Below are 13,528 nucleotides of genomic sequence, written 5' to 3'. Positions count from 1 at the left end.
CATTAGGACCCCACCCTTATGACCTCCTATGACCTTAATTGCCTCTTCAAAGCCTTCCCTCCAAGTACAATCATATTAGGGGTTAGTGCTTCAATATATGCATTTGAGGAGGAAACAATTCAGCCGACAGCATCATACAAGGTTTGGTAATACACACTTATTGTCCAGCTTTCCTTCTCCAGGCTTAAGAAATCAAATCTATCCCTTTTCCATAGTGATTGGTAATAAACTCTCTAAAGAGCAGCATTTAGCTTAGGGAGTCCCTTTAATCATTAGACAGAATGTTTATGCCTAAAACACTTCTGATATGGGTCCACTCAAATTGCAGCATGGGTTATAACAGAGCAGTGGACTCAATTGCAGATGACCAGGGCTGAGCAATCTGCGGAAGCCAGCCATGTGCACAGTAATTCAGAAAAGGCAGAGAAACCGGATCCAGGGGGAAAATCACAGGCAGTTAATGAGAATCAGATGCAATGTAATTCAGACCGCAGTGCACATCCTGATCTCTGGGCACAGGGAATTACATCCATAAACAGACCAGACTTGATTTTATGCAGCACTTTCATTCCCCAAAGAATCCCAAAAGCCTTCCAAAAGCACACTCTTGTTACTGGTAGCTCAGTGGTGTGGAAGACAAACAGAAAAATGTTGTGTTCATAACTCAGGCACAGAAACTTTGTTAGAATCCAGGCCATCCACGTGGGCTAGCTTGACTGGAATGCCAGGTGACCCTTTACTGGTATGAAAAATGTACTTTTTTTTTTTCCTTTTAGATGAAAACATCCTTATAAAGGAAATCCAAGTATGCACGAAAGAAGCTTTTAAGCTTAGCCAGGGAACCACAGTTAAAAAGTACGGCATACATATCAGACTCACTCCATGGATATCTACATGTATGTGCATATATATTTATGTTTATATACCATGGAAACAAACTTTATAAAATATTACTTATCCTTATTATATGTGATGTATTCTGCACTAGATCTTAGCCAAAAGGCCAAGAAGTGATATGTGATGTGTTCTGATGCTATGGATCCTATTTTACTTCTTTTTTAAGTTGATCATTATTTGGTAATTGATATGTTGATTTTAAAACCACTTCTGTGTACAATATTAGATTTTGAAACCCATTTCACTAAAGATAATGAAAGAGAGTAGAAGGCTCTGATACCATGACACTTCAATCATAATACAACATTTGGCCCTGGGACAGTTACTTTACCTTTTTAGGTCACGAGTCACTGGGATTCTTTCACTTTTAACTTGTCAAGTTTTTATTTATCTATTTATTAGAGACAAGGTCTCCCTCTGTCACCCAAGCTGGAGTGCAGTGTCACCATCATAGCCCACTGCAGCCTTAAACTCCCGGGCTCAGGTGATCCTCCCACCTCAGCCTCCTGAGGAGCTAGGACTAAGAGGCACACCCCACCATGCCTGGCTAATTTTTTTTTATTTGATTGTAGAGATGGGGTCTCGCTGTGTTGCCTGGGCTGATCTCAAACTCCTGGGCTCAAGCGATCCTCTTGTCTTGACCTCCCAAAGCACTAGGATTATAGATGTGAGCTGTTGTGCCTGGCTACCTGCTGAGATTTTTATGTATGGCACCTATATATAGGTAAAGCAAAAACATCCTGAAACCAACTTCATGTGATGAGATTATTTTGGAATTCCTATGTTGATTCAAAGTTGTGGGTTACAGCAGGCGGAGGTGGCAGTGAGCCGAGATCCCGTCACTGCACTCTGGACTGGGCAACAGAGTGAGACTCCGTCCCAAAAAAACAAAAACAAACAAACAAACAAAAACAAAGTTGGGGGTTAAAAATAGGGAGAAAATCCATTTTCTTCTGGCACTACACTGAGCTTTGGGTGGCCCCTAAATTTGTCAGAATTTTTTTGGTTGCATGTAGCAGAACTTCCTCCCATCCAAACAACACAGAAAAAATTACTGGCTTAAAGTCAAATGGTCCAAGGTCTGTATAGGTGTCAGCATAGCTGGCTCCTGATTCTGAGATGATGCCACTATTCTTCTCCATCTCTGGGTCCTGCTTTCCTCTCTGTTTGCTTTATTCTCTCCTGTTACAGACAGGGCACCCCCTTGCACCAGAGAAGATGTTTAGTAGCAGCCTGACAACCGACAGGAAAGAGGGTACCTCTCCTGACTCTTTCAGCAAAAGCTCAGGCTTCTCATGATCCCAGCTTGGGCTACATGCCCATTTCTGAGCCAATCACTGTGAACAGGGACATGCCTTTCTCCAGTTACTCAGGTCTGCGTCATGTGCCTACCCACGGTGCATAGTAGTGGAGTCAGATCAACCAAATCAAACAAATTTGAGAATGTCATTATTACACAAAGGAAAACCAACTGGCCATTTCTAAAAGACAGGGGCAAGAATTTTAAGCGGATGATGAAAACAATGGCCACTACTGTCCTCTAAGCAGATGTCTTTGTCTGTTTTGTGTTGCTATAAAGGAATACCTGAGGTTGGGTAATTTATAAAGATGAGGTTTATTTAGCTCACAGTTCTGCAGGCTGCATAAGCAGCACAGGGCTGGTGTCTCCCTAGTTTCTGGTAAGGGCTTTTGTTTTGGTTTGTTCGTCTTTTGAGATGGAGTCTCTTTCGCCCAGGCTGGAGTGCAATGGTGTGATCTCACTCACTGCAACCTCCGCCTCCCAGGTTCAAGTGATTCTCCCGCCGGAGCCTCCCGAGTAGCTGGGATTACAGGCACCCACCACCAATCCTGGCTAACTTTTTTGTATTTTTAGTAGAGCCAGCGTTTCACCATGTTGGCCAGGCTGTTCTCGAACTCCTAACCTTAGGTGATCCATCCGCCTCAGCCTCCCAAAGTGCTGGGATTACAGGCATGAGCCACTGCTCCTGGTCTAGTAAGGGCTTTTGAGTTGCATCAAAACATGGTGGAGAAAGTCAAATGGGCACCAGACACGTGTGAAGATGGATCAAACCTGGAATCATCCTGGCTTTATAACAACCAATCTGGTGAGAATGAATCCATTCCTGAGAGAGCAAGAACTGTTATATCTGTCTCCATGATCCAAACACCTCCCACAAGGCCCCACCTCCCCACACTACCTCACTGGGGATCCAATTTCAACATGAAATTTGTTGGAGACAAACACGCCACATCCAAACCATAGCCCCAGATATACCACCAATCCCTCCCTGTTATTTATTTATTTATTGAGTATCTTTTTTGAGATGGAGTCTTGCTCTCTTGCCCAGGTTGGAGTGCAGTGGCGTGATCCCAGCTCACTGCAACCTCTGCTTCCTGGGTTCAAGGCATTCTCCTGCCTCAGCCTCCTGAGTAGCTGGGATTACAGGCGCCCACCACCACCCCCAACTAATTTTTGTATTTTTGTAGAGACGGGGTTTCACCATGTTGGCCAGGCTGGTCTCCAACTCCTGATCTCAGGTGATTCACCTCGGCCTCCCAAAGTGCTGGGATTACAGGCATGAGCCACTGCGCCTGGCCTCCCTCCCTCTTATTTAATCTTAAAAGTACAGAGAAGAAGCTGGAATTTTATCACTATACTTGGAGAATACTTTTCATCCAGAGAAATCCTGACATTTTCTCTCTGCAATGTCTTAGAAGTTAGAAGGTGTGACAAGGGATTCTCCTAGCTTTCAGATGGAAAACTTAATGTGCCATGAATTTCTGGTCATAAGCCTAAGAAGTAAAAACTCTTTGGGGCCTTTTAGAAGTTATCTCTCTAGCTTTACACTCATGGCTTATAATGTCGTAATTGCCTGGTGGTTGTACTGCAGCTGCCTTTGCAAACGGAGTTTCAACCCGCAGGTCACCTTGGATTAACCAATGTATTGTGTACTCAACCGACGGGCTGAACTGCCAGAGTCATGAATACTTGCTCTGTCTCACACTGAAAAGCACATAGAAAGGGAAAACACATACATACATACAAAACCTTAACACAATTTGACAAAAAGGGGGAAAGCATATTGGAAAAACATGGCTTGAGTGTGATTATTTTCCTCCATTTCACCGAACACCATTATTCTGGGAAGCAATGCAAACAGAGCTGAGGCTTTCAGACTGCAAATATTATTGCTCTGCATTGACGTGATAAACTTGCTGAAACAGAAGAAGACAGAATAGAAGGAATAGTCATGGACATTTTAGCATACAACCCTCTATGTAAGACTAACAGGGCCAGAGTTTGGGGTTTTGCTCGTTTGCTTGCTTTGTCTTGTTTTTTTTTTTTTAATTAGTTTGGATTTTGTTTTTGTAACAATTTCTCATAGAATATTTCAGTTCACATTGGGGAAAGGCTACCTGGCTGTGATGTAGGCACATTTATCATCATAAGAAATGGACAGATTTCCTTTGATAACACTATTTTGCGTGGGGTTTTAGACACAAAATACAATAATTATTTCTTTGTAGATACCACATACGAAACACAGAAACTAGTGGTTTTCTCACTGCATAGAACATTTTCCCTTCCTTTACCCTTGTATTTTCTCAGCCTTCAGATCTTGGCTTAAATGTCAGGCCATAGTTTCTTAAACATTAAACATAAGCAAAAGTAAACAAAACAACCATACCATCAAGCAATTCCATTTCTAAGAATCTATTCCAAGAGAAATAAAAACATATATCCACAAAAAATCTTGTACATGAATATTCATAGCAACATTATTCATGATAGCCAAAAAGTGGAAACCACCCAAATATGCATCAACTGGTGAATGGGTAAACAAAATGTGGTAGAGCTGCCCAATGGAATATTATTCAGCCATAAAAAGGAAAGAAGGCCAGGAGTACTGGCTTATGCCTGTAATCCCAGCACTTTAGGAGGCCAAGATTGGTGGATTACTTGAACTCAGGAGTTCAAGGCCAGCCTGGGTAACATGGTGAAACCCCGTCTCCACACACACAAAAAAAATTAGCTAGGTATGGTGCTGTGCACCTGTAGTCCCAGCTACTCAAGAGGCTGAGGTGGAAGGATCAATGGATCCCAGAAGGTGGAGGTTACAGTGAGCTGTGAACATGCCACTGCACTCCAGCCTGGGTGACAGAGCGAGACTCCACCTCAAAAAAAAAAAAACAAACCACGAATACATGCTACAACATGGATGAATCTACAAAATATGCTAAATGAAAGAAGGTGACACAAAAGAGCACATGCTGTATGATTCCATTTACATGAAATGTATCGGAAAAATACATCTATAGAGACAGAAAGTAGATTAGTGATTTCCTATGGCTGGAGGTGGGAAGAGGGATTAACTTAATCAGGCATGTGGCTTCTTACTGGGGTAACGACAATGTTCTAGCTTGTGTTATGATGATAGTTATACAACTCAGCATATTTACTTTCTCTTGTTACCTAATTTAGAACTAGGCTGCCCAGGTTTGAATCCACTCCCTAACTTTGTGACCATGAGCAAGTTATTTAACTACATTATTTCATCATTGGAAGATGGAATTTTCATGAGATGTTAAGGTTCTTGTAAAAATTAAATGAGATGATACACATACATGTTAATACATGTGCAGTGCTTAGAACAGTGCCTGGGACATAGTAAGTGCTTCTCAGGTGTTTGTTATTATCTGTATATCCCATATCTAGACAGATACAAAATAATGTACGTCTGCTTGGCTTTTGACTGCCTAGAAGTGTTTGTGTTCACTTTAGGCTTGCATCACAGGCATCTGTACACTCTTCAACAGCAAATGCTCACAGGGTCTCACTCTGCCACTCAGGCTGGAGTGCAGTGGTGTGGTCATGGCTCACTGCAGCCTTAACCTCCCTGGACTCAGGTGAACCTCCCACCTCAGCCTCATGAATAGCTGGGACTAGAGGTACATGCCACCATGCCCAGCTAATGTTTGTGGTTTTTGTAAGGACAGAGTTTCACCATGTTGCCCACACTGGCCTCAAACTCCTAGGCCAAGCAAACCACCCATCTTTGCCACCAAAACCAAGAGATCCTTTAATCCCTAGTCTTGGGTTCTCATCAATGTAGGTTGTCTTTTAGTAACAACTCAACAAACTCTTATTTTATTTTATTTTATTTTATTTTTTAGACTGAGTCTCACTCTGTCACCTGGTGGCATAAACTTGGCTCACTGCAACTTCCGCCTCCTGGGTTTAAGCAATTCTCCTGTGTCAGCCTCTCAAGTAGCTGGGATTACAGGCACCTGCCACCATGCCCAGCTAATTTTTTTCATTTTAGTAGAGACAGGGTTTCACCATGTTGGCCAGGCTGGTCTCGAACTTCTGACCTCAAGCAATCCACCCACCTCGGCTTCCAAAGTGCTGGGATTACAGGTGTAAGCCACCATGCACAGCCAACAAAGTCTTTTGTACTAGCATTTATTCCATTTGTTCATCGATTAATTGAACATTTATTGAATATACATTAATTGAATGCCAACGATATACCAGTGTCCTAGGTGCTGGGGATTATATATGGAATGAGACACAATCTCTGTCCTTAATAAGTTTATAGTCAGAATGAGAGGTCCCCAAAACTAACTGGGCATGAGAAAAACAATAGGATAATAAGGTGGGATGTGGAGCAGGAAGGTTTTAGCCTTCTCTCTCTCCCGTCACTAACCTGCATCAATCCCTGAAAGCTACTTCTAATTTAAAACACAATTGTTTTAAAACTATGTAATATATGAATAAAAACACCTTAGAAATAGAAAACTTTGCTATTTTTGTTGATCTGTAAGAGGCAACGTAAAAGCAGTGTGGTTGTTATGCAGACAATTTTATGGTAATTCTCCTATGGGTCACTCTCTCAAATTCCGATCCTGAGTTTCTTCTCTATAGCAATTCTGTAGCTTTCAACATGCCGTAAAGTTTTGCTTATTCGTTTACTCTATTTTTTGAGATGGCATCTGACTCGGTTGCCCAGGCTGGAGTGAAGTGGCGTGATCACAGCTCACAGCAGCCTCCACCTCCTCAGGCTCAGGTGATCCTCCCACCTCAGCCTCCTGGGTAGCTGGGACTACAGGTGTGCGCCACCACGCCTGGCTGATTTTTTGGTAGAGACAGGGTTTCACCGTGTTGCCTAGGGCGATCTCAAACCCTGGGCTCAAACAGTGCTCCCACCTTGTCCTCTCAAAGTGTTGGGATTACAGGTGTGAGCCACTGGGCCTGGCCAGGTGGTAAGTTATAAAGCATAGATCCACTAGACTTTCTGAATCAGAATCTATAGGGGTAGAGCCCAGGCACCTATTTTTTGTTTTTAACATAAAAATGTTTATATTGGTCACATATGCAGAAGCAAAACAGAAGATTATAAGGGGTATTAATGAACAGAATCATGTGATTAGTTTTGTTTTTTCTGCTAGGTGATATCTTTTTTTAAAATTTCAATAACTTTAGTGGTACAAGTGGTTTTGGGTTACATGGATAAACTGTATAGTGGTGAAGTCTGGGCTTTCAGTATACCCCTCACCAGAGCAGTGTACCCTATACCCAAGAGGTAATTTTTAATCCCTCACCCCTTCTAACCCTCCCCTGGCACCTATATTTTTAACAACCTTCCCAAGGGTTCAGTTTATGGACCTGCTTTTGGGAACCACTGCTGTAAATCATGGGTTGAGGAGGGAATATGAATTAAACTAAAGGTATGGAGGCCAGCTAGGAGGTGAGAGATTGGGACACAGTGAACCAGGCTAGGAGGTTGTAGTAGGCTCAAAAATAACCCCCATGGATGGCCATGTCTTAACCCTTGAACCTGTGAATGTTACTTTACATGGCAAAAAGACTTTATAGATGTGATTAAGTTAAGGCTCTTGAGATGGGGAAATTATCCTGAAGTATCTGGGTGGGCCCAAGATGTAATTACAATTGCCCTTATAAGATGGAAGCAGAGTGAGATTTAACTGTAGGAGAGGAAATAGGTCATGTGACTGCGGAAGCAAAGAGAGAAAAAGTGATGTAGTAGAAGGAAGGGGCCACAAGCCAAGGAATGTAGGTGACTTCTAGGAACTAGAAAAGACACGAGGCCCAGGTGCGGTGGCTCACGCCTGTAATCCCAGCACTTTGGGAGGCCGAGGTGGGCGGATCTTGAGGTCAGGAGTTTGAGACCAGCCTGACCAACATGATGAAACCCCATCCCTACTAAAAATAACAAAAATTAGCTGGGCGTGGTGTCGCAAGTGCCTGTAATCCCAGCTACTCAGGAGGCTGAGGCAGGAGAATCGCTTGAACCCAGGAGGTGGAGGTTGCAGTGAGCGGAGATCACGCCATTGCACTCCAGCCTGGGTGATAGAGCGAGACTCAGTCTCAAAAAAAAAAAAAAAGAAAAAGAAAAAGAAAAAAAGAAAAGAAAAGATACAGAAATGGATTCTCCCTTAGAGCCCCCAGAAGGAATCAGCTTTGCTGACACCTTGATGTTAGACTTGTAAGACTCATTTCAGATTTCTGGCCACCCAAACTGTGGGAGGATACATTTGTGTTGTGTGAAACCACAAAGTTTGTGGTTATTTTTTATAGCAGCCATAGTAAACAAATACAAAGGGAAAACCAAAAAACCTAATACAGACGTAGTAGGAGGAAAACCATTAAAATTTAGCAATTGATAGGGTCTATTTAGGTTAAGAGAGAGGAGGAATCAAGAATGAGCCTAGATTTCTAATCATAGATGGCTGCTGTCATATCAATAACAGGAGGAAGGAAAGAATATAATTAGTTGTTTGGCCAGGTGCGGTGGCTCACAGCTGTAATCCCAGCACTTTGGGAGGCCGAGGTGGGCAGATCATTTGAGGCCAGGAGTTCAAGACCAGCCTGGCCAACATGGTGAAACCCTGTCTCTACTAAACATACAACAATTAGCTAGCGTAGTAGCGCATGCCTGTAATCCCAGCTACTCAGGAGGCTGAGGCAGGGGAATCACTTAAACTGGGATGCAGAAGTTGCAGTGAGCTGAGATCATGCCACTGCACTCCAGCCTGGGTGACAGAGCAAGACTCCACCTCAAAAAAAAAAAAAAAAAGAATATAATTAGTTGTTTGGATGGTTGCTAGTATGATGCACAGGTAAAGAGGGCCAGCAGACATTTGGATATGCAGGGCTGAAGTTTTGATTCTGTCATTTGCAAAATGGACAAAATAAAATATTCTTGTCTAATGGTTGTGAAGACTAAAGGTAATACATTCAGAAGTCTAGCATGAATAGGTATTCAAGTGTTAGGGGAAATATCTTTACCACAATATGGTTCCAGGATCTGGGATTTGTTGTCCATCCCAAGGCATGGGATGAGACTCTGCCCCTAATCCCTACCCTCTTCCCATCAGCCTATTTGGCAGAATGCAAAATAGTAGCTGGAGCAGTCACTGAAACGGTCATTAACACCAGCTAAGACTTTGTGGATTGCAGATTCAGCGCCTGTGGAAAGTAACTCTATTGACCATAGAAGAAGACACGGGCTAATGCAGCTGGTCAATATTTTCTAATCGAGTAAAGCCTCATTGAGACAGAGGCTCAGCTGAAGTTTATCTTTTCCTCTTTTTAAAGAGAAAGAGTTTGGGAAGCAAATGAGTTTAACAAGATTTCCAAAGGGAATATTTAAACGGCTTAGAAAACAAAGTGCTTTTAATCACCTTCAAACACTTGAGAAGCACCATTTGCGATCCAAGTGATACTTGAATCGCACACCATTTTTTTTTTTTTTTTTTTTTTGTGAGACGGAGTCTCGCTCCGTCTCCCAGGCTGGAGTGCAGTGGCGCGATCTCGGCTCACTGCAAGCTCCGCCTCCCGGGTTCACGCCATTCTCCTGCCTCAGCCTCCGGAGTAGCTGGGACTACAGGCGCCCGCCACCACGCCCGGCTAATTTCTGTTTGTGTTTTTAGTAGAGATGGGGTTTCGCCGTGTTAGCCAAGATGGCTACTATCTCCTGACCTCGTGATCTGCCCGCTTCAGCCTCCCAAAGTGCTGGGATTACAGGCGTGAGCCACCGCGCCCAGCCAATTGCACACCGTTTCTAACTCTTTATTGCGCAAGTGCTCAGGGCAGACCTGGAAATCATTTTATAGCCCGGTTCTTTTTCCTGAAAATCATGAAACTGTTTCCTTTAAAATGTGTCTTCATTCCTTACCTTCCACTAATTCTGACTGGCTTTTCTCTAATAAGGAATCAGGCTAAGTTTTGATGGATGTTTTTCCTCCACCATGTCAAACAAAAACCCAGTTCTCAATAACATCTTCTTCCTCATGTCCATATCAAAGCCATTACCGAGACCTAACCATTTCCCTCCATTTCCTTATACTTTCACCTTCAAAATTCTAGTCCCAGCTTCCATCATCTCTTAGCTAGACAGCTGCAACAGGTCCTTCTGTGGTTTCCTGAATCCTTTCTAGTGCCCTTCCAATTCTCCATCCTGACAACAGAGACTGATCCCAAACAAAGTGTAGCATCTGAAGTCGGACTGAATAGGATCGCTAGCTGTGGGGGCTTTAGCTCACAAGTAATCTTAATGAGGCTCATTATCTTCCTCTACAAAACAGGATAATAGCAGTAACTGCTTCTGAGGTTTGAGGTAAGGATTAGGTGAGTGAAGTGCTTCTCATAGTGCCTGCAAATAGCAACTACTCAGCAAATATTCGGTGTGGTTACTGCTACCAGCCTATCAGGACAATCTCACTTGTTATTATAAACATGCACATGTTTATTATAAAACACTCATTCATCTGTTTATATAGGTGAAGTGCCAAATGGCTCAGGACTTTTCTTTCCCATAATTTTTGAGGCAAGCAATAATTAGAAAATGCATATGATTTAAATGAAACCAATCATACTTCTGAACAGTAAATTATACACATTATATAAAAGGAATATAAAAAATATGGGTAGATAGACAGTTTTATGGTTCTCCCCTTAAATAAGTTAACAAAATTCCTTTCATGCTCCTCCCAGTCTCTTCTCCCAAAAAAAAAAAAAAAGGATTTTTTTTTTTTTTTGAGATGGAGTCTCGCCCTGTCGCCGAGGCTGGAGTGCAGTGGCGCGATCTTGGCCCACTGCAACCTTTGCCTCCTGGGTTCAACTGATTTTCCTGCCTCAGCCTCCTGAGTAGCTAGGATTACAGGCGCCCGCCACCATGCTCGGCTAATTTTTGAATTTTTAGTAGAGTTTGAGTTTTGCCATATTGGCCAGGCTGGTCTCAAACTCCTGACCTCAGGTGATTCAGCCATCTCAGCCTCCCAAAGTGCTGGGATTACAGGCGTGAGCCACCCCACCCAACCAACAAAAAAAAAAAAAAAAAAGGATTTTTAAAGAAATAAAAATCAAGTAGCCAGAGTGGGCTATTAAGTATTCAGAGGGGCACTTTATCAGAATATGAAGAAATAATTAAATCCTTAGCTGACCAAATATAAACCATGAAAAGTCAGAAAGTAATGCTGCCCCCAAATTCTCCTCCATTGGCAACTCTTCCTAAGCACCAAAGTGTGTTTTCTGTCAGGTGATTCCTTTTATCTTAGGAGCCCCTCTAATCACTCAGAATGTGCTCTGCATTGGGTAATTCAAAAGCAAAATCTCTCACAACCGAATTTTTCAGGAAAAGCTCATTAACTCAATGTGAGGGAAGCATTCCCTGAAGCAATGAAAATAATATTTTTAAATGAAATGCCGTTTTCTTACTTTTAAAGGACCCAGGGCTGGAGTTAGAACTTCAAAAGGCTCTAAAGACTGACGAGGTTCTGATGGCCATGCCCATACCCTACTTGGTATTTCAAAATAAAATCCCCCTTATGGCCAGGCTCGGTGGGATTATGAGTGGCTCACACCTGTAATCCTAGCACTTTGGGAGGCCGAGAAGTGTGGATCATTTGAGGTCAGGAGTTCGAGACGAGCCTGGCCAACATGGTGAAACCCCCATCTCTACTAAAAATACAAATATTAGCCAGGCACGGTCGTGCATGCCAGTAGTCCCAGCTACTAGGGAGGCTGAGGCAGGAGAATCACTTCAACCTGGTAGGTGGAGGTTGCAATGAGCTGAGATCACACCACTGCACTCCAACCTGGCTGACTGAGTGAGACTCTGTCTCAAAAAACAAACAAACAACAAAAACAATTAAAAAAAACCTAAAGTAAAATAAAAGCTGCCTGAAAAGAAGGCCAAAGTTGTAGTTTTCCCGCCAATACTACATCATTGATTTTCTTGAAACAACATATATTTAATTCTTTCTTTTTTTTATTTTTGTCGATGTGCTTTCAGGAAAGTGTGTGTGTGTGTGTGTGTGTGTGCGCGCGCGCGCGTGTGTGTGTGTGAAATTGCTTTGCTGGTAACTAAGTACATGTTCAATGTGCCTACCAAGGGCTGTAAGGCAAGAACTGTAAGGACAAGGGCCTGCATATGCACATCAAACTAGTCTGGCACAGAGTGATCTAGCAAAGGTGGAATTTAGAGGCCTGGGCTCAAATCCCAGCTGAATCACTTACCAGCTGTCTGATCTTGGGCTAGTTACTCTCTCTGAGCATCAACTACCTTGTTTGTTGTTGAAACACTGATGTGTGGCGATTACAGCAGGTACACAGAAACACAGTAAGGGTCCCCTAAATGGTAACTAAATAACAGTATACAGCGATTTGCCATTAACCAACCACTTATATGTAAATAAAGCCTAAGCAAAGCACTATTGATTTCCTTAAGTAGACTAGCCTGGCACCCTTACAAATGCTTAGTTTTTCACAATTCTCTTAGCATATTTAGAGGACAAAGAATTGCTCAAAAACTCCACAAATTTTAATTTAGCAGAATCGAAGTTAATGAGTTTTCGGTATCCTAAAATGTAGAGAGAAGGAATGAAAAGAGAAGGGAAGAAAATTATATTTAAAATGACCTAAGGAAAAAATACAACAGAATACATACGATGTCAGAGGATTTTAAGCATTTGGAGAGTAAACAAAATGTTATTTCCAGGAGTATGTTTATTTTATTTTATTTTATTTTGAGACGGAGTCTCGCTCTGTTGCCAGGCTGGAATGCAGTGGCACAATCTTGGCTCACTGCAACCTCCGCCTCTCAGGTTCAAGTGATTCTCCTGCCTCACCTTCCCAAGAAGCTAGGATTACAGCCGTGCCACCACGCCCAGCTAATATTTTGGTAATTTTTTTGGTAGAGATGGGGTTTCACTGTGTTGGCCAGGCTGGTCTCAAACTCCTGGCCTCAAGTGCTCTGCCTGCCTCGGCCTCCCAAAGTATTGGGATTACAGGAGTGAGCCACTGTGCCCTGCCTGCAGGAGAATGTTTAATGTCTGCTGGGAAGACCTACTTTTCTGAGAATATGAAGGCTTTCAATGCCTGCTCAATTATTTTGTGTCTTGTCACAAGACGCAAAGGATATCCTTGTTCTTAGGAAATACACACTAAAAATAATAATATTTAATACTGAGGATGATTTTTTTAAAAAAGGAAGCTGGGTGCAGCAGTTTATGCCTGTAATCCCAACACTATGGGACACCAAGCTTCCAGGAGGAATGATTGAGCCCAGGAGTTTGAGACCAGCCTGAGCAACATAGCAAGACCCGT

At 42.6% G+C, this 13,528-nt stretch overlaps 1 annotated feature.

Annotated features, from left to right (window-relative positions):
• Positions 12,231-12,815: an enhancer, noted in NCBI's record as "NANOG hESC enhancer chr3:66050608-66051192 (GRCh37/hg19 assembly coordinates)". NCBI's record gives its function as "activates a minimal SCP1, AML or CMV promoter by ChIP-STARR-seq in naive H9 embryonic stem cells {active_cell/tissue: H9 hESC(naive)}" and the evidence as "EXISTENCE:reporter gene assay evidence [ECO:0000049][PMID:30033119]".

Source organism: Homo sapiens, chromosome 3 (assembly GCF_000001405.40).
Source record: "Homo sapiens chromosome 3, GRCh38.p14 Primary Assembly".
NCBI lineage: Eukaryota > Metazoa > Chordata > Mammalia > Primates > Hominidae > Homo > Homo sapiens.
Note: the sequence above shows the minus strand (reverse complement) of the source record. Positions and strands in the feature narration are given on the sequence as shown.